Genomic DNA, 26,705 nt, shown 5'->3' with positions numbered 1-26,705 from the left:
GCTGCTGATGCTCTGAAGAAGACTTTTGTTGTGGCAAAGATTCATTCTATTCCATTGTTTCGTTAGTCTGAATTATGATAATTAGCAATAAATAAATCAGTAAACAACCAACATATGTTGTACACCTAACACAATACTGGGTATTTTGTGTAGGCTCAATAAACATTTTGTGTGATATGACATATTGCTTTAACAATGTTTAACAGAAATTAGAAATGATACTGACCCAAGATCTTCAACTCAGCATTTGCATAAATGGCTCCATATGTGTTTTCAGCTATGCACTGATACATTCCGGCATTTTCAAAAGTCACATCATACAGTCTTAATTCCCCTTTATGATACTGAAAAGAATAAAATTGAAACATATTCTCAATGAACTTTAATAGAAATACTTTCACTTAGGTCTGGGTTTGGTTGTCTTTTCATTTAGATACATTATGTTCATCTGCCCCCACTGTTACCTAAGATGAACTGAGTGGGATTTTCATGGCATGGGAAAGGAAAACCCACTTACCATGCCCAAAGGCTCTTGTTCTATTCATCCTACAGAGCTGAGAGTCCACCTTTTCCCCTCTTGGACCAGCTGGGAGATTACAGTGGGAAGGTAGAGAAGAATCCCACTGCTGCTACTTGTCCCCAGGGCCAAAGGTAGGACTTAGAGCTTCACTCTTACCTCTGTCTCTGTGGGGTACAGGAAAATAGTGGCAAGAAAAAGAGGACAATATCAGGTATTGGAGATGGATGAGTAGGAAGAGGGTGGAAAAGTGGAACAAAGGAAAAAAATAAGGAGAGAGAGAGAGAGAAGGTAGAGTAAGATTACAGAAAGTTGTTTAAACTGAAAGAAGATACTTTATGTTCAGTTTTTGTCTTTTTTAGGAAGCTTTTATATTTCAGGGCCCAAGTGCCCTTTCTGTATTGTCTCTCCTGCTAAATTTATCCCAGGACTACCCTGAAACACTGCTTGAACAGGGACTCAGGAACAGCAAAGCACTTGAACATACATACCGCATATCCATTTTTCAACCATCGGATTGTAGGGATGGGCTTTCCTGTGGCCACACAAGGCCAGTAGAGATCACTGCCTATGTCCACCTCTGTGTCATTGATGTGTTCTACCCACTCAGGGAATGCTAAAAAGTAAGGAACATTGTAAATGTTAAATGAAGGGCTCAAGATCCATCATAATCTCCAGAGTATAAATATTACATTTAGTTAACCTAATTCTGCAGAATACATCAGATAGTGTATGCATCCTGAACTCAGTAATAGGCCTTGTCTTTGCATAGGCTTAACCTACGCAAATCCTGTATTATTACAGCAGGAGGTAACTATAACTCAGCCATTATTTTTCCATTTGTAAATCATGTTTTGTTGAAAAGCTGAGTTATAATTATTACTAAAATAACTGATTTTTTTCTGCTCATAACATAAACCTTTCAAGTCTGTCAAAATGATAATTGAGGTTTTAAAGAATTACATCTCAATTCAATATGATACCATCTCTTAACATTTTGGATAAAGACTCAGATATTTTTCCCACTCCCTCAGGTATACATTATCTTCATTTTGATGGAACTTTCAGCTAGTGGCCACGGTAACATCTCACTTTGGCGCTAGAAAAATGACTTGGACACCTAAATATACTCTTTCCATATTAGAAACTATATACAGTAGCCATGATTGGTGAAATCCATGCATTGGTAAAATTGATCTCAGTCTCATTCTTTAGTCTGATCTACTTGATAGCTAAAGAGACATCCATAAAAATGAGAAAATGCTAAAAATTTTCCAAAGAAAAAATATTTTTAGAGAACAAGCAAATAAACAATTTGACAGTCTTTTTGATTATTTCAGTTATCTAGTCCAAATAAATGCAGATAAATAAATTAATACAAAAAGGAAGTAGGAAGAAAGAATCCTGAGTGGAGAATAATATTTAATTTTCTTTGAAACTGGGAACTTGTGTTAATTTTATGGCAAAAGCAATATATGCATCTTATAAAAAACATTTAACAAGTAATAAAATACTAGAAATTTAAAAACTAGAAAACATTTTTATCTCACCAAATACCATCAACATTATACATTATAATGTATACATTATACATGTAGACATATGTACACCTATATATCTTAAAGCATATATAATCTTATTTAGTACATGTTTTCACTCATCATTATATTTGTAACATAGGGAGATATTTTTTAAACTATTGGTGGATATGTTCATTGTAAGGGAGAAAGGTTTTATTTTGTATACAATCTTAGCAATACATAATACAGGAATATCAGCACCCTTCCTGTCTTGGCCTCACAAAGACAACACAGACATTTTCTATTACATCATGTAATGAATAATTGAATTGGCTTGACACAGTCTATATATGGCTTAATTATGTAACCTTCTAGTGATGTGATCAGACCTAAAGATAATACTTAGTATGCTGCATTAGTAAAGAATAAATAATATTTCTCTTAAATTACCTTCTGTAAATATGTGCTCTGTCACCTTGGTTCTTCTAAGGCTTTAGATATTAGACAGTTCAAAATTTTACTCTGTTGAGAACCTGGAGTGTAGTTTTCTTAATATGTTGAATAAAAACAGGTCTATAAGCTTTAGAAACCTAGTAGAAAGTGGTGGATTTATTTCAAAAGTTTAAAGGACCTTACCTAGTATTTTCTTCCTTTTAGGAGGCCATTTCATGCAGACTTGATATGTATTGCATTAATGTTACTGTGGCATTGGACATACGAGTCTGAAGTTCAGAGTAAATGTTTGGGTTAGAGCATTCAGGGTACAGAGTGTGTCTAAAGCCATGATCACGAGTGGGATCATAAATGGAGTGACTGAAATGGAGATGGGGTTCACAGATGGAACCCTGATCACACCAATGTTAGAAAAGTATGGAGTTGAAAGGCAATGGAGAATGAAAGATTATACAAGGAAATTAATAACAAAGTAGGTTGCAGACATGAAGTGCAGAAAGTGAATCATGAAGAAGGGAGGGACCAACTGTGGCAACCACTGCTGTTAGATCAAAAAAAAGTACAACTGAGAATTGATCATTAGCTTTAGCAATATGGAAGTCTGTGGTCATGAAAAGAAAGGTTTCTGTGGAGAGGCAGAGATGCAAATCATGTTGGAGTGCAATTAAGAGAGAAGAAAAACTGGAGATGGAGACAACACTTTTAGAGAGAATGCGTGAATCTGTCAAATTTTTTATTCCTTTTTGGGAGAGACGGGAGAAAGTGAAATGGGACAGTAGCCAGAGTTAAAAACGAATAATATTGTGGAAGCCCTCGATGTTTATTCACTTGTGACCTGCAAAGTTCATGTTGTGGAACATTATAGAAATTATTTCAGTCTGGAAAGTTTCCAGTGTGGCCTGAAAAAAAATCTGTCTTCCCAAATGTAAGTTTATTTTAATGTGTGAAAATCAAAGGTTTGTGCCATGATAATTTTGTCAAAAAAAAAAAAAAAGATTTCTTAAACCAGTGGTTCTCAAAGTGTGACTCCAGGACCAATATTATCAGCATCCTTTGGGAATTTGTTAAAAATACAAATTCATGAGCCCCTAACAGACCTCTGAATGAAAAATTCTGAGAGTTTGGCCCAGCAATCTGTTTTAACAAGCCCTCCATGTGATTTTGATGCATGCTTAAGTTTGCAAACCACTGACTTAAACTAAGTCATAACACATAGCTTCTTCTATAAATAAAAAGATACTGAAAAAAGACAGTGATAAAATGAGTAAACAAACTACATTAAGTGTATATTCTGAAAATTACCAATAACACTTCTATCAATCTATTGCTATTACCTATGGTTCAACTGGTAATAAGTTCGTAACTTCTATAACTCATAGTTGTGACTTCATTAGACATATGAGAAATATTTTATCTTTCTCCATGATGTAACATGCATCACTGTTTTTAAAACCATTAATCATTATATAGTAGTTTTTCATGTATGGAAATGGCTCTAAATAAGATACTGATGAAATTTATACAAAATTAAAATAATGTATCTACCTTGAACATAAATTCTTGCTTGATGTTTATCCTTTCCTCTAATGTTCTCAGCCTCACATTCATAGATGCCTTCATCTTCTAGCTGAATATTGAAGATCTTAAGAACAGCCCCAGAGGTGCTAATCTCAGCAGTGCTTGGCATTGGTTCTAGAACCTTCCGCCATCGGATATCCGGAACAGGACTTTAAATAGAAGATACAAGGGTTAAAGTTTCACACACTTAAAAGACAATTACTTTATGTTTATAGCTAAACAATTATTTATTTCCTAAAATGGTACTATTTCTATATATATTAATAAAAGTGTCAGTATACTTACTTTCCAAGTGCAAAACATTCTAAGGTCACATTTTGGCCCATCAATGCATATACATCCTTGAACTGAACTACAATATCAGCAGGATATGGTTTTGTTGTTCCTAATATTAAGAGAAACACAAATATCCACTAATTATTAGGCACAATATTAGTTATTCTTAAACATGGTAATTCTACAGGATTAGAGCTGCTCCAACATGGAAGCTTTTCTCTGTACAGGTACAGGTCATATCATAATGGATAGACTTGTTTGTTTATGCACAGTATGAATATAGTATAACTTCTCAGTATTTTCAATAATATTGGCTCGTTCTGACAGCTGCATAACCATTGTGACTCAATTTACTAAAAAAAATCCTGTCTTTAGTGAGCAACAGATATGTGTCAAACATTGTGATCAGTGCTGCATGGAACTCAGGAAGGTGGAGAAAGAAAATGAGGGAGAAGGAAAGAGAAGAAGGAGAAGAGAGTAGAAAAGAAAGACGCAAGGCAAGAAACTAAGGAGAAAAGAAGAAATGCCCACAGAGATAAAGGCAAAGGGAAACAAATTGAAAAGAGAGAAGGAGAGAGGGAAAGAAGGAAAACATTTACTCAGACAACACAGCACTCTTCAAACTAGACACTTTATTTCATTTATTTAGCACATCAGTCCTGAAAGATGTATTAATCCTTCAGGCTTACAGAAAAAATCAGGCTTAGAAAGGTGAAAGGCATTGTTTAGGATCACAAATTGAGTGTGTACCACACACTGTAAAATGCTAAAGAGACAAATAAATAAATAATGATATATAAGCCAAATCAAAATGGGTACTTTGAAAGAGTGACTGATGAGGACGGTAGTTAGAAGTAGGTAAGGGCTATAGCACTCTGAGGCAAATATGGCATTTAAATTGGACCAGTTTAGCTTGAGCAAACACCATATTACGACAAAGCTCCAGGAGTGTGCAAGGAATTTTAAAAGGTCTAGGAACTCAAATGATGCTGAAGTATATGAGCTTGAACCCACAATCTAGAAGGACTGAAAAAATAATATTTTGAGATGAATTTTCTCAATAGGTAATATATTAGTCTGTTCTCATGGTGCTAATAGAGACATATCTGAAACTAGGTAATTTATAAAGGAAAGAGGTTTAATTGACTCACAGTTCTGCATAACTGGGTAGGCCTCATAATCATGGTGGAAGATTAAGGAAGAGCAAAGGGAAATCTTACATGGCAGTGGGCAAGAGACAGCATGTGCAGGGGAACTCCCCTTTATACAACCATCAGATCTCATGAGACTTATTCACTACCACAAGAACAGTATGGGGGAGACAGCCCCCCATGATTCAATTATCTCCACCTGGCCCCACCCTTGACAAGTGAAGATTATTACAATTCAAGGTGAGATTTGGGTGAGGACACAGCCAAATCGTATCAGGTAACTACCATTGGGACTTGGTAAGAGAAGTAATATGGATCTTATCTTTGGTTTAAGTGGAAGACCTTGCTGGCATTTTTAAAGGATGGAGCATGGAGAGGAGAAATATAGAAGACAGTCTCAGAGGTCCAAAAAGGCTGTTTCAATACTTCAGGCAAAACAGGTGAGGGCCAACACTAGGGCATAGTTACAGTGAAAACAGAAAGGAAACAGTAAATATAAATTGTATTTTAGAGGCAGAATCAACAGGACGGCTCCTTGGATCAATGTTTCTCAAGGTGTAGATTAAAGGCTCAATCATCAGAATCACCTAGGATACTGGTTCAACTTGTGGATTCCTGGGTCATATTCCAGGCCTGCTGAATCAGTATCTCTGGGTCCTGCATTATTCCCAAAACTCCCCAGGTGCTTACCTACTAATTAAGAACCACAGGGTTAGCTGTCCTGAAGATCAGTGGAAATTGGGATTTGATAATAAATAATGCTACCTTGAGTTATTAGAAATGAAACTGTATTGCTAAATAAGCTAAATAAAAGGAAGGTTTTGGAGAGAAGTAACACATGTATTTGTGACACTTTGAGCTTAACATCTGTGAGAGCTTTCTGGGGGACAAGTCCAGGATATAGGAAGAATTGACATCTAAACACAAGAAAAGTTTCGGAGATGTGAACTTGAAGTCTCTTGCAAAGGTATACTGTTGAAAATGTGTAAGTGGGTGAGAATACCTAGGAAAAGATTAGAGAAAAATATAAGAAAGAAGAATATTTTGTGAAGAATATTCTATGAAATTTGTCAGAGAGGCAGAAGGGAGATGAAGAGTTCAGGAAATTAAGTGAAGAAAGAAAAGTTCATGAAAGGCAGAAGAGGCAGTGTCAAAGTTCAAACAGAATAAGGACTTCAAAGTGTCCTTTGGATTTAGCAAATAGGAATTCATAATAATTCAAAATTGCATTGAATACAAGAGAATATGCAGAGATAATGAGGTAGAGCAGAATCTGAGGATTCAGGAAAGAAGAAAATAAGTGTTGTAGTGAAGTTTCTAATTGAAACAAATGGAATGTGAACCGGAACAACTGGAGAACTTAGCTTGAGCGAGGGGAGAAATATTTCTGCTATGGAGACAAAAAGTAAGAAAATAAATAGAAGTGCTGAATTGCAAGTATATTTCTGGGGAAGAGTAGAAAGAAAATCAAGAGAATTTTTACATGATGGCTCCTTTTCAGTCTATGAAGTAGGGGGTGAGATTATCTCTTAAAACTGAGAAAAGAAAAATGAGCCAGAAAGTCAACAATATTTTTTGAATACCAATTATGTGAGTGTTGCCTTGCAGAGAAAAATAAAAATGGAACCTCAATGGTATTATAGCATTTTTCCCATCATCACACTGTGCTTAGGGGTAAAGGCAGGAGCCAAACCTAAATCTGTTAATCTGAAGCTGGTATGCTCTCATGAGCTTGAATTTGCTGATATTAATGTAGCAGAAGGACTTGGATAGAAATAATGTAAAGTAAGCAAGTATACTGTGATTTGATTCTCTTAAGCAGCAGTGCTTTTTAAAAGGGAAGTAGTTCAATTGGAGCCTGGGGAAAGGCCAATCAGATTGTCAGTGTCATCTGCCATGGTGCTACCAGGGTAGCACCTCATGCTGATTATGTAGATTAGAAAAGACCATTTATTTACTTATTTGTATCATGTAAATAGTTCCTTAAAAATACCAAAATAATCAAAATGACTTAAAAAATTCTACAATTACTATTGTTTGTTTTGATCTACCAATCCTTTGATTTCTTCATGAGCTTACTAAGAAGTAGGAATGGCCACAAAACAAAAAGTAGATGTCAGTGATTTCCACTGTAACCAATACACTAGAACTGGACTAAGGTATCAGTCCCCTGTGTATTTTCCGAGCTAGAGGCAACTCATCCGAACTCAACCTTCTTACAGCAATTTTATTAGCTAAATCTTCTCAACGCAAAAAGCTTAGGACCAAGCCTTTGGCCCCTTCAACATGCATCCCCTTTTATATTGTCCTTCCTGAAAAGTCAGCTAGTCTTCACTGGATATTTCTTTTCATTACGGTAAGTATACCATATGTAGATAACCTTGCGAAAACAGAGTGTAACAAATAAAATACTTACGTTCAGGTATTGGAATGAGTGGGATGAATTTGCTGAACACGCTCTTTGTAATAGAAGGACTGGAAACAAAGCAGGAATAATTGCCTTTGTCGGAAGCCTCAACATTTGCAATGTAGAGATTGCCATTTGTCTGAGACACAAATCGCCGTTTATCCATTGTGATAAATACAGGAAATTCATTTAGAAGCCAGCGATAGCTAAGATCATCTAGGAGAAAATATTGCCTTCTAAATATTAAGTGCTTCTCCCAAAGTTGTTACATAATTTAATAGAGGCTAGTAACAAGCTATCACTTAATCTAATAAAGGCTATTGTGGAGCAAATGTTAGGAGAAAGCCAAGACAAACAGTGCACACTTTTAAACATGTACCATATTTCACATGAATATAAGCATTACACTAAGCAATTACATCTATTTATCTATTTCTATTATTTAATAAACTATTATATTCTTGCTTTCATTTCATTGATGGGCTAAGTGAAACTCGAAGAGGTTACATAACTTGCTTAGAATGTCATGACTATTAAGAAGAAATAGGATTTTGAATCCATGTCTAATAACTCGAAAGCCATGATTAATCTGCCAAACTGCATTTTATAAATATAATTAAGATTACTTACCATATTATTGCTTTATCTTTTTTTTTTTGTGTGTGTGTGTGTGTGCACCTATTTTATAGAGTTAGAAATGAGCTTACATAACCTATTGTGGTCACATTAAAAAGGGAAACCACAGAAACAGGGAAAAGTATGGTACTGGTTTAATTAAATATTAGGAGATGTATCATATGGTAACTCTTACCCACATGAAATTCCTTTGGCTGAACACACTAACTAGTTAAATGGAAAACTGAATTTCCTCCTTAATTTGCTGCATTTCCTATAGTTTTCTATTCCTTCTTTCCTCTCTGTTTTGATGAATGACTCCCCAGGAGTCATTCAACAAATACACAAGGAGACAATGGGCAATGCATACCTTTAGGTCAAAAAATGATGATTCCCTTCAAAACATCTTGATCACATAAAGACAATTTCTACTGGGAAGAATATAAGTGGGAATCTCTCTAGGTCAGACTAGATAGGATTTTAGGTGTAAAATGGTGAAAAACCAAGAAATCACAGCACTCAGGCTTCTTTTAAAGATGAATAATCATGACAAATGGCTATTTTGCTTTCGGGAACTCAGCGTGGCTAGCAAAGCTTTCAAAGAGAGTGTGAAAGCACAATGACTATGAAAAACTAAAAGAGATGCACATTATATAAGCTTCACATAATTGGGAATAATAACCTGGGCATTATATTTAGCTTAGCTATGTAATTTTCTCCAGCAAAATACAACATCAAGACAGGCAGTGAATATGATTATATTCTTTTGGTTTTCAACATTGATTTTTTCAAATTATAGAAGCAGCAGCATATGTTTATTATTGAAGAAACAGAATACAGATAAAAAGAGGCAGAAAATTAGACTACCATAATTAGCCTCTAACTCAGAATTACGGTTAACATATATTTCTAGGCACTTATATCTGTGAATAATTGAATTCTTTTCATTTGTTTTCTTCTTGCTGATTTAGGGTCACAGGATAATTAGTATAGGAAAATATTTAGGGAGCTGCTTAAATTTCTTAAATGAGGGCTCCTGGGATAAGTAAAGAAGTATCACATTCAGAAAGGAGTATTAAGTAGTCTTTCATCCAAGCTGATATGTATAGTACATTTAAAAGAAGACTTTGATCTTTTCTGATTCTGAATTAATATTTCCTATTCTCAGTTGAAATGTAAATCCAAATTTTGTAAGGATTTCTGTTAAAAATTAAATCCCCACTCCCCCTGCCCCACCACCAAAGCCAAAAATGTCAAGAAATTTTGTATTTCCTTACAGAGAAAGGACTTTTGTAACTATAGAATGTATGAAAGATACTGCCCACAAAATGCATTTAGAGTAATCTGAATCCTCAGTGGTTATGTGAATACAGAGACCTGAATTTTAATTCTCAGTATGACTTTTTTATCAGGCCAGTTAGTCACTCTATTACTCAGTTTCTCTAAAATGTAAGACATTTTCCTGTGCCCCACTCATAAGAGATGTGTGAAAAGGAATGAAAGAAGTGATGGTACTTGATCCTTATAAGGGATAAATGCTAAATCCGAGAAGTTATTGTCGTGATGTTGTATGAACATAAGTCTTGGACTATAGAACAACTGGTCTAACTGACTGAATGCCCGATGTAGATTCTCTAATTTACTTATTTTGCAAAATCTAAGTACCTTCCAAGTGCTGCTAAACAAGATAGATGTGGCCTTTGGATTTGTGGGACTTGCAATATAATTAATCTAAATTTATTTAACAAATCTTACTTATTTTTAAAGCCATTCACTTGGACAAAACAATAATTGCAATTTGTTAGAATCTGTCAGCAATCGTTACAACAAAGGTAGGAATGGCTCTTGCCATTTTTAAATGGGGGATCCAAGGCCTAATAGGGTGAAGTGACTTGCCTGAGGTCATACAGCAAACGGGAGGCAGAACTGATGTTCTCACCTCTTTCCCCACCCACCATCACCAAAATAAGCTGTACCAACACCAGAGCAATAGCCACGCTGACTCTCCGACTTACGGATGAGATGTGACTTTGTCAATCAAGAGCTAAGCCCTGATCTAGTTCTTTCAAGGACTCAACAGACCATCTTCTTTGTGTCTTTCCTAGCCCCACACAGATGATAAAATCAATCATCTTTGCAAAAGCTATCTGTTTTCCTCGGATTATAGACTGGATTAAACAATAAATAACCATAAAATTATTTTTTCAGTAAGTGCCAGCACATACTTAAGAAATGTTGCTTTTATCGGTAGATATATGACACTTCTTGCTTTTGCCCCAGAAGTCTAGGTAAGCACATTGCAGTCCCATAGTTTTGAAAACAACTTATTGAATGATGAATCATAAATTGATATTCCATCACCCCCGACATCTACACACATATAGAACTGCCACCTTGATTTCCGTTTGGAAGCTTAACAGATGCTTCACATTTAACATGTCCACATCTATTCCTTCAGCTGAAGTAATGGCAACTTCATTCTTTTAGGATCTCACAGCAAAAACTTTTATGCCACCCTCAACTCTTGTATTTATCTTATATACCACATAAAGTCAACAAGCAAATCCTATTGGCTTTTCCTTCAAAATATATCTAGAATTTAACCAAAGTATACCTAGATTTCTATATAGAATTTAGTATATTCTATTTTATCTAGAATATGCTTGGATTTATCTTCCCACCTCCACTGCCACCACTCTGGCCCATCATATGCTACCTAAACTATTGCAATACCTCCAAACAGATCTCTTGTTTCCACCTTTGTCCTCCCCAGGTCCTTTCTTAAAACAGTAACCAGAGTCACCTTTCTATAACTTAAGTCATGTCATGTGTCTCCTCTGCTCAAAGCCCACCAATGTAAATCGCATTCAAAGTAAAAGCCAAAGTATTAATAATTGTTATGGATCATAAGGTCCTCCATAATGCAGCTCTTGTACCTCTCTTATTTCATTTCTTACTACCCTCTGCCTTATTCACTCTATGACAGCCACCCTGGCTTCCTTGGTCTTCCATAGTCTGACCTCAGCATCTTCCTGGCATGCTCTTCTCTCGGATACTCATATTGTTAGCTCCTTTACTTCCTTCAGGTGTTTATTCCAACTTTCCTTCTAGTGATGCTCCTCCTGAGTTCAGTCATTCCCCTCAATACTTACTCTCCCCACTTCCCTGCATTATATCTATCTATCTATCTATCTATCTATCTATCTATCTATCTATCTATCTATCCTTATTTAGCAATATCTAACATGGCATGTCTTTTAGCCATTTATCTTATTAATGTCTGACTCTCCCCGTGGAAGACCTCTGAAGGCTGGTAGCTTTTCCTGTTTTGCTCCACTGAGGCATTTCTGTGGCATACATTGTGCCTGCTGTATAACAAATACTCATAAGAGATTTTCTGAGTCAATGAGTGATGCAGTGAAGTCCATCCAGTATTGAATATGGTCAAATGTAGTCACTGGATAGTTTTGGTCATTACTTTGTGGGAAACACTATGAAAATGGTAGGTTTTTAAAATATGTATATATACATATATATATATATATATATATACACACACACACATACATATATATATATATATATATATATATATAATTTCAATAGTTCCTTAAGAAAAAGGTTTTTCTCATTGAAAGGGTGTTAGAAAATTTTGAATTTTATATGTACCTCCTGTATTTATCAAGCAATCATCTTTCTCCTATTGTGGAGAAAATCACAAATATTTGATATGTAAACAACCACAACTCTCTCTCTCTATATATATATATGTGTATATATATATATACACGTATATATATATATACATGTATATATACGTATATACGTATATATACGTGTATATATATACACACACACACACACACAATTTCATGTGGAATATATAACATAATTTTGTGTGAAATATATGTGTGTGTATATGTACATACACACACATCAGATTGATGTATCCCACACAAAATCCTGTATGGAGTTTAAAAGCCTGTTACGTTTCATTCTCTATGGAGATGTTTAAAGTCAAATTTAAGGCATAATATTAGAACTAAAAGAATAGAAACATGATTTTTAAATTGTGAAAACAGGTATTTATATATTGTTTCAAAGAGATATTTGATAAATAAATGAAAATTGGTGAAAGTATATGAGGAATTCATCTTTTAATTAGCACTTTGGTGGCTTTTGTCTTAGCCATATAAAATTACAGAAAACATAGATTCAAAATTGAATTTCATAACAGATGACACTTAATTTAGCCCCATTTATAAAGTAGATGATTATTCTTGCTGATTGGTATTCCTAAGGAGATTAATAATTTATTATGTCTTTATCCCTTCTAGGGTTTAGTTACATACAGTTCACAGTATTTCATAGATACTAACTTGTTAAGAAAATGATTGATTATACATCCTTTCTTGGTACTGTTCTATTTCAGGAATATTTTCTAGAAAATCTAACAGAATTTCCCTATGGAATAGGAACTTTAATGATGACATAATACTATATATATATATATATGTTTATAAACTAAAATGATTAGAGATCCTTGGGACTAGAGCCAGGTGACTGAGCCAAGAAAGAAAGTGTCCACAACAATTAGTGACACATTACAAGGTATGCAAATATTCAGTCTCATTTAATTAATAATAAGCCATGATTATTAATAATGTAGCATTATTACTAAGAAAATGGAAACTTGTCCATTTTGTTTCATAGATGCTAATAGTCAGAGAGGAATTAAGTTTACCTGGAAAATGGTATGGGGGGTCACAGAGAAGCACCATTCCTTTCCCTTCTTTTACTCTGACCTCAGGACGTTCCTCAGGTGGGAAAGGATCAAGATCTAATTACGAAAGAAAAAAAGAGAAACATTCACTCTCTGGTCAATAGAAAGAGAGACATTCATCAATTTTACCTTTCAGCAAATAACTCATTCGTGAGATACAGCACTTCTCAGTGGTTTGGTGAAGCCTAGTAAAGTCAGCTCCTCGTTCTTACATTGCTGAGATTTTGTATAGACTATTAAAAAGTTCTGTTATGAGCTCAAAGTCTATGGATATTGGGAGCAGCCTGCATAAGAATTCTGACAACCCTGAAAATCACAAATATCCTGAAGACTTTTGTTTCAGACTTAGGGAGAATCTCAGTCAGGGTATCTGGAAATACAATGAAATCAGACAAACCAGGGACCTACCAAAGAAAGTAAGTAAGAAGGAATGACTTAGAGGAATGGACTCATTTGAAGGGTATTTCTCTTCCTGAGGGAGGGCTTGGATATCGGGAAGGAATAAGGGTGAAAGGCAGGACCCTCATTAGGGAACGTGAAAGTAACCAATCTCTTGCTCCTTCTCAAATTCTGGGTTTGTTTCAGTTCTAATTTTCTTTACTCTTTTCTATGTATTTGGAACTTACATTTCACTTGATTCCTTGATATTCTTCCAGTTCTTCATTTGTTTTACTGATACTCATTCTATTTTTTTCTGCCTCTCTTCCTGTTCCTAACCTGTGATCGGCACCCAAATTATAACATTGAATTGTTACTTTTCTCAGTATAAAGTGTATACCTCTGAAAATTCATCTATGCTAAGTGTTACTTTTTTGCAGAGGACTTTTCAAATCTACTTCTCTAGGCCTGGTGTCTTACTTGAATGCCATCCCTATCCTCAATAGCTTACTTGACATTTCAACTTGGATAACTCAATATCAAAATAACCTCTGCATGTGAAGCAACCATTTAAATGCTTCCTGCCATCCTTGAAATTGGTTTTTCTTGCTCCCATCCCATTATTAATGAGAACAGAATGTTTCTACCCTCTGACTAGACATAACTTGGAAAAAAAATGTACAGTCTTCTTTCCTTTTGTGCAATGCAACCTGTTAATTCTTTCCTTATGGTTAATGTATATTATTTACATTTCCACTCTCACCACACTAATTTAATCTTACTTCTCTTCCTGGACCTTTCTCATTCCCTCCTGATAAACCCTACCATGAAGGACTTCTTAAAACATTGTTTTCATCCTATAATTCATTTTGCAAAAGATTTAAGTGCTGACAAATCACATACTGGAGATCACCTGGTCCAACTCATCTCCCAATGTAAAATTTTCTTTCAAAACAACCTCTAATTTTTAGCTTAGCACAGTTTTTCATTATTAGCCCTAATTAAAAGAAATGTTTCATGTAATTTAAATTTAAAATAAATTAACTAAAATATAATTAAATTTATTCCTACTATTAGAAGTTAAATATTAGGGAATACAATATTGTCATATTGGGTTGATCTTTGAAGAGTCACAGACATTATGTTGCAATATGTGACATTTTCTTCCCCCAAAAGACAATTTTCACCCCCTTAGGGGTGATAGTGCCCCTTTGATAATACATGGCTTGTTGCTTCCATTGATGTCTTTTTTTTTTTTTTTTTTTTAAGGCAGAGTCTTGCTCTGTCATCAGGCTGGAATGCAGTGGCACAATCTCGGCTTACTGCAACCTCCGCCTCCCAGGTTCCATCAATTCTCCTGCCTCAGCCTCCCGAGTAGCTGGGATTACAGGCATGCACCACAACGCCCAGCTAATTTTTGTATTTTAAGTAGAGACAGGGTTTCACCATGTTGGCCAGGATGGTCTCGATCTCCTGACCTCATGATCCACCAGCCTCAGCCTCCCAAAGTGCTGGGATTACAGGTGTGAGCCACCGCGCCCAGCCTGATGCTAACTTTTAAAGAGTCATTCAAGATCCTCAGACGCTGGCCTTCCTTTATTTGACAACATCATCTTTCACTGTTTCAAGTGCATTCATAGTATGCCTTGTGGTGCTTTGTTGTCTCCATTACACAATTAGGGTCCACTCATCTTGTAAGATCCACCTCATCTATGATGCCTTCCTCTCACTATCCTTTCCTGATTGTTCTTCTTGCTGAACTCACCTAAACACGCTTGCCCTTTTTTAAAAGTTACAGTTTACTTACATCCAAAGCTCAGGGTTGCTTCAGTGCTTCTGACCATCCCGTAGTTATTAGATGCTAAACAGTAGTATATTCCAGCATCTTTCTGTTTGTCAGGGTTGTTGATAACAAGGTTTCCTCCTACCATACTGTATCGATCACTTGTGAGATCAACGTCCCCATTATTCATTCTCCATCTATGAGAAAAAGACACAAAGGTCATATCACAGGTCATGAGACCTAGAAACTCTACGGAGCTAACACAGTTCTAAAATAATTTGGGTACGGCTCCATGTGAAGTCAGACAATTAAGAATATGATTCAGGTGGTATTTCTTTGTACTCTATGATTCTGAGTCTCTAGGACCATAATTTGTAATTTAGCTCAAGTACAGACAAGGAAACATCAAAGTACATGACGTATTTTGTCTTTTTTTTGTGAGGTATCTCAAGTGACAAATATTTTGTTGAGTTTTTCTCCATAAATTGATTTCTTGGGATGTAATTGATAGCCATCTATGCACCAGTTAGATTCATACATATGCAGATATACTGTATAAAGTATTAAAAGCATTGTTCTACCATAAATAAAATACAAAATATCAATATCTGACTCTAAATTTCAAAGTAATTTTTCAATAAAACAAACTAATTGACAGTGGGTTCTGCTCAATAAGTGACATATTCTGACCACTAGAGGTCAGTCACACAATTTGAAAATGATAAAAGTCAGTTGGGTTTTTAAAAATTTATTCCGAGCCACAAATATACAAGTAAATCTGGATTTTCCTCAGCCTAGAGTTAGTGGTCACTTATGTCTTTTCTCATTACTCTAAGATTACTTTTAATAAAGTGAAAAAGAGGAACAATTCTTTTTCTCCCCAACCACATAATATCATAACAATATAAGACATGCTGCAGATAATCAGAGCATTAACTGATAGGGATAGTGTTATAAATAGACTGGAAACAGGGATCTAACTTTCTGATGTGATGATGAAAAGAATGCATGTAGAAAATAGTTCTCAACTAAGAGAACCAACTGTATAATTTTATAATCATTCTTTATCAGGGTTTATCCTTTAAAGTTCCATGTCCTCAGGAAAGTCATAAGCCTAGAGCTGTGGTCAAATCGCTCAAGTAGTAGTGGCTCGTGGCCACATCGCTCATTTCCTGGCCACTTCTAATTAGAGTAATAATCATGCCCAAAAGTCCTAATGACTTTAGAATATCTGTTGTCAAATCAAAGTTACTGGAACATTATTAGTTACAATTTTCGCAGTATAGGAGATAATTTAAAAGCAAGTATAGAAAACTGTGATTTTGCATTTTTAAAACTTACTAAATTACAATCCAATGAATAAAGCCTTCCTCTTCCCCCAGGTGATGGCAATATTGTCCCTGCCTGAACCATCTAGTGTTAAGTTGCTTAGCTCTTGTCAAGACAGTGGGTTTCTTTGTTGGGCAGCTCCAATTTTTGTAATTTCTCCCTCATTATATTGGTTCCAAATATTTGTTTATTATCTTACCTTCCTCCACATGGATCTGATTGTGCTTGTGACATCATATAAGGATTACCTTTTTCTGTCTTTGAAGAAGTTCACTGGTCTAGTTTCAGAAACATAGACTATTGCTACAATCCCTTTTAATACTTTTTTATTGTAATGCTTGTTTCTTTGGGGATGGGGGCAAGATAATGAAAGCCTCAAGGCTTATAAGTCAGAAGTAAAGTACCCTGTTGTACCTCTCAGGATGTTGCTATGAATAGCACGTTGTCCCAGAACATGCTACAAATATATAACTACTATATGAATGAAAAATTGGATGATTACCAAGGTTAGTATAATTTGTCCTGAAATTATGTACATTTTAAAAACTTTAAATGTTCTTTTCCATCAAACTATTTCCATCATGAGCTGATTTTTTTTCTGTTCTTTCCCCCCACTTTTTTTTTTCCTGTCAAATGCAGACTGTCTTCATAACAAGATTAAACATCTATCTGTCTTCTCCAGTTCTGTCTATTAGTGTATGGATAACCAGGCCAAACTCAAAGTGGGAATTTCAGTGCTGGGTGCAACCTGAGAGAGGCAGTTGGTGACTTACTGGCAAAGCAAAGCTTTGCTTTTTATTGTGCCTGTGGGGTGGGGGCATGGGGGCAGCAAGGAGAAGCATAGCCTTTTCCATGTTTCTAGAATGTTATCTGAGAGCAGCCCTTTCTTTTGGTTGCCTCTGTTCTAGCCTAGAGACTGATTTGCTAAGGTCCCTTGTGTGACTGTTAACAACAGAGTGTCACAGCATAAGTGTCACTGAAAGAGTTTTTGGGATTCTATCAATCTATCCAGATAGATAAATAATGAAAAAATTGCATACCTCATTGGAAGTCATAAAAACTGTGTTTCAGTCTTGGATCTGTGATTTACTAGTTCTTGAGCAAGCAAATTTACTTATTCAGGATTCAGCTTCCTCTCCTGTAAAATTTTCTTGGATTGGATCTCCTCTACAGATCCTATTAGTTCTACTATTCCATGTCAATGACAAATAGGCTCTCATTATATATGGCTTAAGGGTGGAAATAAGTCTAGCCCATCAAATATTTTGAGAACAAATGTGTTATTTATAATTTATAAAATACCTACTTATATCATATTTCCATGTATGAAATTGAAACGATAAAAATAATTTCAATGGGATGGTGATTTTGTATCTAAATTCACAATTTTATCTTAAGAATAATTTTGTGATTATAGCCAAAGGCAGGAAAAAACTGAGTACTGTTAGAATCAAATGGGTGGAAAGGGATATTCTCTTTTGTAAGAACTTTTTATAATAATAGAAAGTTACTTTTGTATCAAGGAAAAAATATTAAAATTAACTTTGTTGAGTGACAACTTTCAATTAAGTCAGGTGACATTAACACACTAGAGCCCCCAATTTCTCCATCAGTCACTTGTTTTGTCTTCATGGAACCATTGCACAGGTGAAATTTAAATCCACTGGCATTTGGTTGATTTTTGCATCTCATTCTTTGCATCAGATGAGAAACTGTTAGTATACTTTTATGACCCATCTGAAGCAGGAAAACTCATTGTTGCTTTTTATAAAGTTGTTTTAGATAGCATACATATGTAACCCAGAAAAATAGTAAGAGGTATGTTTATATAGATTTTCCTATAGGTAGAGACATTTAAGAAATTTGCTGTGTTGGGTGGAATATAGATATGAGACTGTTGAAAAATATGGTGCTTTCTACAGTTATTTGTGCAAGATCTTTAAATGTACTTAATATAAAAATTTATCCATATCTGTAGGTATGAGTTATGCAGGCCAGTACATAACAAAAACATTTTATCCTCAAATCTGTATATTTAAATTATGCATAATTTTATGTAACCATTCATGGGCCTAAAAACATGATTTCCATTATACAATTTATAAGTGGATAATGTCAAATGCCAGTAACATTATCTGTGCAAAAAATAGTAAGAGAATTATTTGCATATATTTAAGAAAATCTGCTATTTGAGCATTAGGCAACTTTTTTAATAGTTTGTATGCCAATATTTTTGTTAATGTCCATGGAATTTGCAGAAAGCACTATATTACATCTGTACAAGTTCATAGATGCTGATCTGTGATCATTACTCTGACACTCCACTCTGAAAAGAGAAGCGAGGTACATTACTTGTAAACCGGGAAAGGGCTGGCTCGTGCCCTACAGTTGAGTGAGACTTTTCCTTCCAGTGATTCCTCTGGATAAATGGTATTGATTGGCTGCTCTTCAAAAATTGGTCCAAATCCTTTGTCTTCCTCAGAAACTACAAGAAATATGAAATTGTTTTACATTGTACTGCTTTATAAGTCAAAGAAAATTTGAGAACATTGAAAAAAAATTACTTGAAAAAAATCAGAAACAGAATCTCCATTTTAATTCAAAACAAAGATATTTGCCTCCATAATACTGAGCCAAACATCAGGTTCTTCATTTAAAATTATTTTCTGTGCATCTCCTGTCATTTTTCCAAATGTACCATGTGTTGCCAAACTTAACTACTTTCCACTTCCCCAAACAAGCTGTGCTTTCATGCCCCTGAGCCTCCGCATATGCTTTCGGTTTTCCTAGAATCATCATTCTACTTTTCTTGTCCTATCAAAATTTGCATGATCCTTTGGTGACCTAGCCATAGTTAGTTCCAACAGGAAGCCAAAACCTCTCATCTCTCCTGGCTTTTATTGGTCCTCTTTTGAGTTCCTGTAGCTCCCCATAAAGGTTATGGTACTTAATACACTTGCTATGATTCTTGGTACAACTTTCTGTTCTGCTAGATTGCAAATGCTTGAGAACAGGTGGCTACGTCTTTCATCTGTGTACATCATTCTCCTGGGTTGTCTGGAAAACAAAAGGAGCCTAATGATTTTTGAACAAGAGTCTGAATGCAAAGGAGAGCTTCTTGATGTTGAGAAAATCAGTCTCTTTTCTGAGCCAGTTTTTGTTGATTTTTTTCTAAACATGTGACTAGCGTTGGCACTCAGCACCATCTAGAACAATCAATCAATAAATTACACGGATATTGGATCTGAACAACTGGTTTAAAATTTATCACAAACAGCCGTGTTGAGAAGCAGTTATTCCTCATGGTCTATTCTCCCTGGCAGGGAAGAGTGACACTTCATAGCAGGATGAGGAGAAGAAAATCATTCACATGCCACCACTGCGGCAGCATTTAGAGAGCACAGTGCAAAGCCATATGCCTCAAATGAATTAATAATCATCTGTGTGGCTAGAAAGAACGAATATTCTTACAGGTCACTGGAATGTCTCTGCCCAATCTAAGCGATGGTTCACTCCTCCAGTTGTTTTTTAAGAGAGAGGTAAAGACAATGGCACACAAATATTTTGTCTTCTCTGACACTAAACTTGAAGATGAGAGTGCTGTTCGAGCTTCCTTTTGAACAAATAGTTTCATTATGTCATTTAAATCTTGTTTCAGTAACATTATCAGTGTGCCTTTGGACAAATTATTTAATCTCTCCAAAGCTCAATATCACTCTTTATAAAATGGGGATAATAAAATCTACCTGAAAAGGTTATTATCAGAATTATTTTGAGACAATTCATGAAAGATGGCAATGTACCTAGCTTATAATCAGCAATGAATAAATGCTAATTTTAAAAACACTCTCATGAATTTGCCAATCTCTTCAAAATTTTGTTTATGTTTCTTATGTATATAAGCTATTCAACTAATCATGAAGCTTCTAAAAACCAAAAGCCAAGTTTTCACTCCTTTGGCTCTGGTGCTGTTAGCACTGTGTTGTTTGGGACACTCAGTACATTTTTATTGTACATATAGATGGTTACTAAAATCCTCAAGTTAGTTCTGCCCCCCCCCCCGCCCCCACCACTGGTATGAAGAATTAATTTATTTAATAAAAAAGTTAACCCAAAATGTTTCAAAGGGAGCTGCCTCATTCTTGGTTGAAATTTGCTGAAACTTTTATTCAATAGTTTATAGACCTCAGACATATTCCATAACCACCATCCTATTTCAGATAGGAAATAGCTGGATCAGAATCAGAAGAATGAGAGGAACTGAGACTTAGCTCCTGCCATGAACTTTTCTAGTTATTGTCTTAGGCAAGCAATTTGTTTTACAGGGCTCGTACATTCAGAAAAGAAAGGAACATGAGCATATGTCCTAAGGACTCCATGTGCCTACCACAATTATTATTAAGATTACAAATATGAGGTAGTCACAGAGATGCTCTCTGCTAATAATTTTGAAAGTTGTGTTGTAGGTTGTCTCTAGTTCCATATCCTTCTTGAGGCTGTAAAAGCCATAAATGAATATAATGTTTTCTGCTTCACTTCTAATACTTTTACTGAAGATGCCTGATATTTTCTGGCTCTTCAGGTTGTAACAGCACAGCAGGGAAAAAATGAGAAATGAATCCTGAATCCTGATTACTGAAGACTTTCATTTTTTATGGAAGGTCTGGATTTTCTGATTTCTGAAAGAAATGACCTTGTGCTTATCTCTGATAAAAATCATACGCTATTTTTCTTCTCAGTTGGACAATTTCATAAGCTATTCCTTGAGTCTCTCCCAATTGCACAGGGTTTCTGACTGGAGCAATTTAGTTCACCTGCCATTTTGAAGATCTTGTTGTTTCTTCTCAATGCATATAAAAATGCTTAAAAAGACAAGTAGAGAAATCAATATATCTAGATTCTCTTCTTGAAGGTAAGATAATTTCTATTCCCACTATAATCCTTGATAAATAATGACTTTAGTGTGAATTATTTTAAAACAATTTATTTTAAGTCTAAGTTCATAAATATTTAGAAAACTAAAAATAAATATTGCTTAGGGGAGTGTAAAGTTCATAAAGATCTTCTAAGTACTTCGATATTTATGCGACAAGCCTAGTGATGATGTAAATGTTATTACCAATGGAGAAGGCTATACATGTAAGGAGATTTAAGGAGAAATGAATTTGTGTTGCAAGTATGCATACACTTTAAACATAAGGCCACTAATCTGCACTGGATTGGATCTTGAGTTTCCACTTCTTACAACAGTGGTAGCATAGAAATTTCAGATGGTCATGTTGGGAGCAACAATTTGATACACTATAGGTGTTAGCTGTCCTTGATCTGACTTTGGGTACTTCAGTAAGTTTTTAGACACAACACCAAAAGCATGATCTATCAAAGAAAAAAAAAGGATTAAGTTGGATTTTCTTAAAATCAAAAGATCTGCTCAGTGAAAGACATCGTTAAGAGAATCTCAGGTCTTCAGGGTTAAGAGTTTTCCTTTGAACCTTCTCTGACTTGCATTCTACAAGCAGCACATTGGAAAGATTTTTTAGAAACTAAATATCAGTCTCATTTAATAATGGGGAATATAGTAGTGATTAAATATGACTTCCTAAAATATGAACTCATCTCAAAGAGGTACAGGCTTACATTAATAAAGACCAGTTACACAATTGTACTTCCAATGTAGAAACAGACAGCCCTGGCCTGTCTAGTGTCTGCTTCTAAAGTGGCTTCTAGAAGTGTCATTATATGGAGGGTCATCGTCCAGAATTCTAAATTTAATTTATAATTTCATTTGCTTCCTTAAAAGAAGCTTTTTTATCTCTTTGAAGTAAGGTGAGTTATGGTCATTCAGAATTGCTTTGATTACTGAAAGTACTGCTTGGCGCCTTCAAATACAATAAAGACAAATTCACATGAACATATTTCTATGTAAAGATTAGTAGATTTTCATATTTTAATGAAATGAGTAGTCTTAAGTATTTCTTTTGATAATGTATCCTTTCATTTAAGGTATATTATGCTTTTGAGATAAAAGTTGGTCAGCTTTCAGAAAACTGAGAATATGTTTTAAGTAGCTTTTTTATCTTAATAATATGTATTTTTAAAAAAAGAAAAAGGTGCTAGCAAGGAAAATTTTCATTGAAAATTATAGAATGTCACATACTAATAATGATGAGGCCATGCCTATAAAGTTATACTGAGTGTGTATATAGGGTTATTCCTATATATAAGGAATGAGCAAACCCTCAAAGGGGATATACAATTTTGGAGTGAATTTTATAGGCCAAACTGGATAACATTGGTGCCTTATGCTACTTTTTCTTCTCAGTTACAATACTTTTCACAAATTATATGTATATATTTCCCAATACTCCCACTTATATTTGACCTTTATAGGAACAGACAATGCAAGCTTTCAAGGATTAAAATAAGAAGCGAATCTCCAAGAAAATACTGAAATTATTTTTCACATTGAGAGAATATTGCAGTTAAGATATTTCCCTTTGCTCTTTCCTAGAACAAAAAGCAGAATAGGACACACTTCACGTCACATTCATTTTTCTATTAAGGATTTTATTTCATAACTATATTCTTCTTGCTTTCTAAACTTTTCAAGCCTGAGTCACATAATGTATTTTGTTTGACGGTTTAGAAATTACTGTATATATTTTATTTTAGGAACATATTTGGGCCCTTGAAAGAAACATTACTCAAAACAAGCATCTGTATTGCATTGCCAGGTTCAGCATGAACCTCTTGAATATGATCCTCATGTCTCCCTCGCAGGCTGTACCTTAGTTTCCGACCACGCTAGCTCAACTAGGGTGCTCAGATGCAGGGAGAAGAATTTTGAGGGATATTTCAATACAAAGCTCAGCAAAGGATCCAGTAATGTAAGCATTATGTTCTCAGCCTACAGAAAATACTGTCATCTATTGATTTTTTTCTACAGCCATGGAAACACTTAGATGACAAATTTTGATGCTTTGGAAGTATTATGAGGTTAAAAGGCATAAGAAACAAACCACAGATAGAGATTGTGTTTTTAAAAACTAAAATTATTTTTTAATACATTCCTTTTTTTTACTAGATAGATTCTTCTTAAAAGGAGCACAAAGTTATAGATGACCTCTCAAGCTAATTGAAGCTTTAACATTTCATATCACTATTTTGATCTGCTTTTAATGCAAATACATTTATTTCCTACCAGATAATGTGATTATCATAAATCTATTACAGACATAAGTACATTTCTTAAATGTGATCAAAAAGACTAAGATAGAAATAAATAATGTAAGAATATTTGCAGTCATATTTACTAATGTAAATGAGAGGCAAAAGCTACTGTTCTTTCATTCTCACTTTCGCCATTAATATAATTAGTCACTTATATAATCTCAAATGGGATTACTTCACCTACCACTATGTGGAGAGTATCCACTATAATATTGCTATTCTATTTTACTTCCAGGAATTGAAAGTAAAATTATGATTTGTACTTCAGAGATATTTGTATTCATTTTATATACTTTTTGAGACAAACTCCACTTCCCAGTCTATTATATGTCACCTCAATCTGTTAGTTAGTAAACACAATTTTACATAAGCATGTTGTAAGAAGAGTCCTAGGAAAAATCTGTTAGAAAAAGGTAATGGCATCAAAATTTCAAAAGACTAAAATGGAAATTTTTACATTTACAGTGTTACAGTGATTATTGGGTGGGGAGTGGTGTAAGCTCTCTTGAAACTCTCTAAATGAGATAATATTTAAATTGTCACAAAGCATCCTTCTTCCACATATTACAGCTTCCTATCTCCACTGCCAACCATTTCCTGCTGATAACAGAAGATGGGCTTAGCCTTTAAACACTCTGGTGCCCCAGTTTTTTAGGGTCATGGGTAATAGGTAACATTGCAGTACTTTTTTATAACTAAACATACAAAGTAAGGAGTTGGCCTCAAAAACTTGCAGAAATACAGTTATTAGAATAAAGAATATAGTCAGGTTAGTATGAAAGTTAAGTGAACTAAATTCTCCTTGCTTGGCTTTACCTGCCCAAGGGGAGCCTGTCACATCTCTCTAGAGGAACTACTTCCTTGTCCTGTGACCCACCTCTGAAGCATCTAGATTCTGTTTTACATACCTGGCTGGGCATCTTCTGACACCTACCTCACGTCTTACTACATCCTAATATATAGCATGACTGGGCTGGTGGGCCTACTTCCAGAACTTGGCCTGTTTCAGTCTAACTCTAGTCTATTTTGATTAATGGGGCTATGTGGGACCATAGATCAAAATAGAGACAGGTCACTGACTGCTATAAAATGTCAATCATATTTAGAGATAGAAATATGTACTGAAAATAATTCTTACTGACTGATGTGAGTCTAGTTGAAAAAATATACAGGAAATCTTGGTGCAAGTACTGTAAAGATATATGAAATGTTCTACCTGTCCTCCCTACAGCTAAGCAATGAAGATAGTTTTTTTTTTTAAATATTAGCTTTGGATATTATACAGTCATATCATAACTCTAAATGTACAAAGTATAAATTATATATTATTTCATATCCCAATTCTTACAAAATATATATTATACTGCTATTTTATTTCATTTTTAAGATACTTTTTCTCAATGAATTACAAAGGAATGAAAGATACTTATTTTCATTTTAGATTAGCCTGGGTGTAAGTTGGTCCTACAATAGCTGCAGGTTTTTTTTTTTCTTTCTGAAAGTAAAGTAAATGCAGACTACAAGTGGAAAAAAGCATCTAAAATATTTGCTGTCAAATGATTTAGTTATTAATTAAATATCTAAACATTACAGATTATGTGCAACTTATTCATATTTGCTCTCTTATCTCAATAGAATACAATATTGCTTTCACAAAATCTAAAAAAAAATTAAGAAGAAAAATATTCTTAAAGACATTGAGTGAAGTTGGTTTTGATGATTTTGTTATAATCTTTTATGTACTTTGTTTTTCAAATTTAAAATGTTTTTGTTTTAATACATATATTTGAACACTAGCTACTAATGTTGCTGTAAAATAATCATTAAAAACTATTATATATGCTGGATGACATATTGGATATAACTTTTTCATTTGTGAGAAAATTCTCAATTTCAATTCACCTGAGTAATTCGCAGACATTGTTGGTTGACTAATCAGCTCCTCTTCTGCCCTTTACTTTCATGACAAAGCTCAGCTTAGTTCAAGGATCAACCTATCCCTCACATGACTCAGACGTAAAGGTTGACAGGGAGTGATGCCATTACTCTTGCTAGCGATGGGCTTGTTGGTGAATGTGTGACCCAACTCTGGACATGTAGTGTAAGGTTTCTGGGAAAGGTCTCCTTGTTTTTAAAGGTAGATAGATACAAGAAAAAAAACAAGCATGCTCTATTTGCCTACAAGACATTGTTATGTCTCTGTGTGATACCTGGAACTGCAGCACTGCTGCCAGCCGGTTAAGTAGGAAGCCTGAGAGTTGACCACTGGACTTACAATGTGTGACATTAGAGACATGAATGAGGCAGTTTTTGTTGAGTGCTCGTGGGAAACACTGATTGCAGCAGATTAAAAGGAGAATATGGGTCAAGGAATTGGAAAAAGCAGCCATAGGCTATTTTTAAAAAATACTTAGTGAATAAGTCTCACAAGACCTGATGGGTTTATCAGGGGTTTCCGCTGTTGCTTCTTCCCCATTTTTCTTTTGCTGCGGCCATGTAAGAAGTGCCTTTTGCGGCCGGGCACGGTGGCTCACGCCTGTAATCCTAGCTCTTTGGGAGGCTAAGGCGGGCGGATCACGAGGTCAGGAGATTGAGACCATCCTGGCTAATATGGTGAAACCCCGTCTCTACTAAAAATACAAAAAATTAGCCGGGCGTGGTTGCGGGTGCCTGTAGTCCCAGCTA

At 34.9% G+C, this 26,705-nt stretch overlaps 1 protein-coding gene across 11 annotated transcripts in view; it reads right to left on the bottom strand.

Moving 5' to 3' along the window:
- Window positions 1–26,705, bottom strand: part of CNTN1 (contactin 1) — a 379,977-nt gene that overhangs the window by 134,502 nt on the left and 218,770 nt on the right. For all 11 annotated transcript variants that reach the window (XM_011537926.4, NM_001843.4, XM_024448843.2 and 8 more), the window contains 8 exons: window positions 19,143–19,275; window positions 15,486–15,658; window positions 13,262–13,357; window positions 7,912–8,118; window positions 4,354–4,453; window positions 4,036–4,217; window positions 1,009–1,133; window positions 227–344 (listed from right to left, as the gene is read on the bottom strand). In XM_011537926.4, the coding sequence (XP_011536228.1) occupies window positions 227–344; window positions 1,009–1,133; window positions 4,036–4,217; window positions 4,354–4,453; window positions 7,912–8,118; window positions 13,262–13,357; window positions 15,486–15,658; window positions 19,143–19,275 (1,134 nt within the window). The remainder of the gene's footprint in view (window positions 1–226; window positions 345–1,008; window positions 1,134–4,035; window positions 4,218–4,353; window positions 4,454–7,911; window positions 8,119–13,261; window positions 13,358–15,485; window positions 15,659–19,142; window positions 19,276–26,705) is intronic.

Source organism: Homo sapiens, chromosome 12, assembly GCF_000001405.40.
Source record: "Homo sapiens chromosome 12, GRCh38.p14 Primary Assembly".
Taxonomy (NCBI): domain Eukaryota; kingdom Metazoa; phylum Chordata; class Mammalia; order Primates; family Hominidae; genus Homo; species Homo sapiens.
The sequence above is the reverse complement of the archived record's forward strand: the minus strand, read 5'-3'. Positions and strand labels throughout refer to the sequence as shown.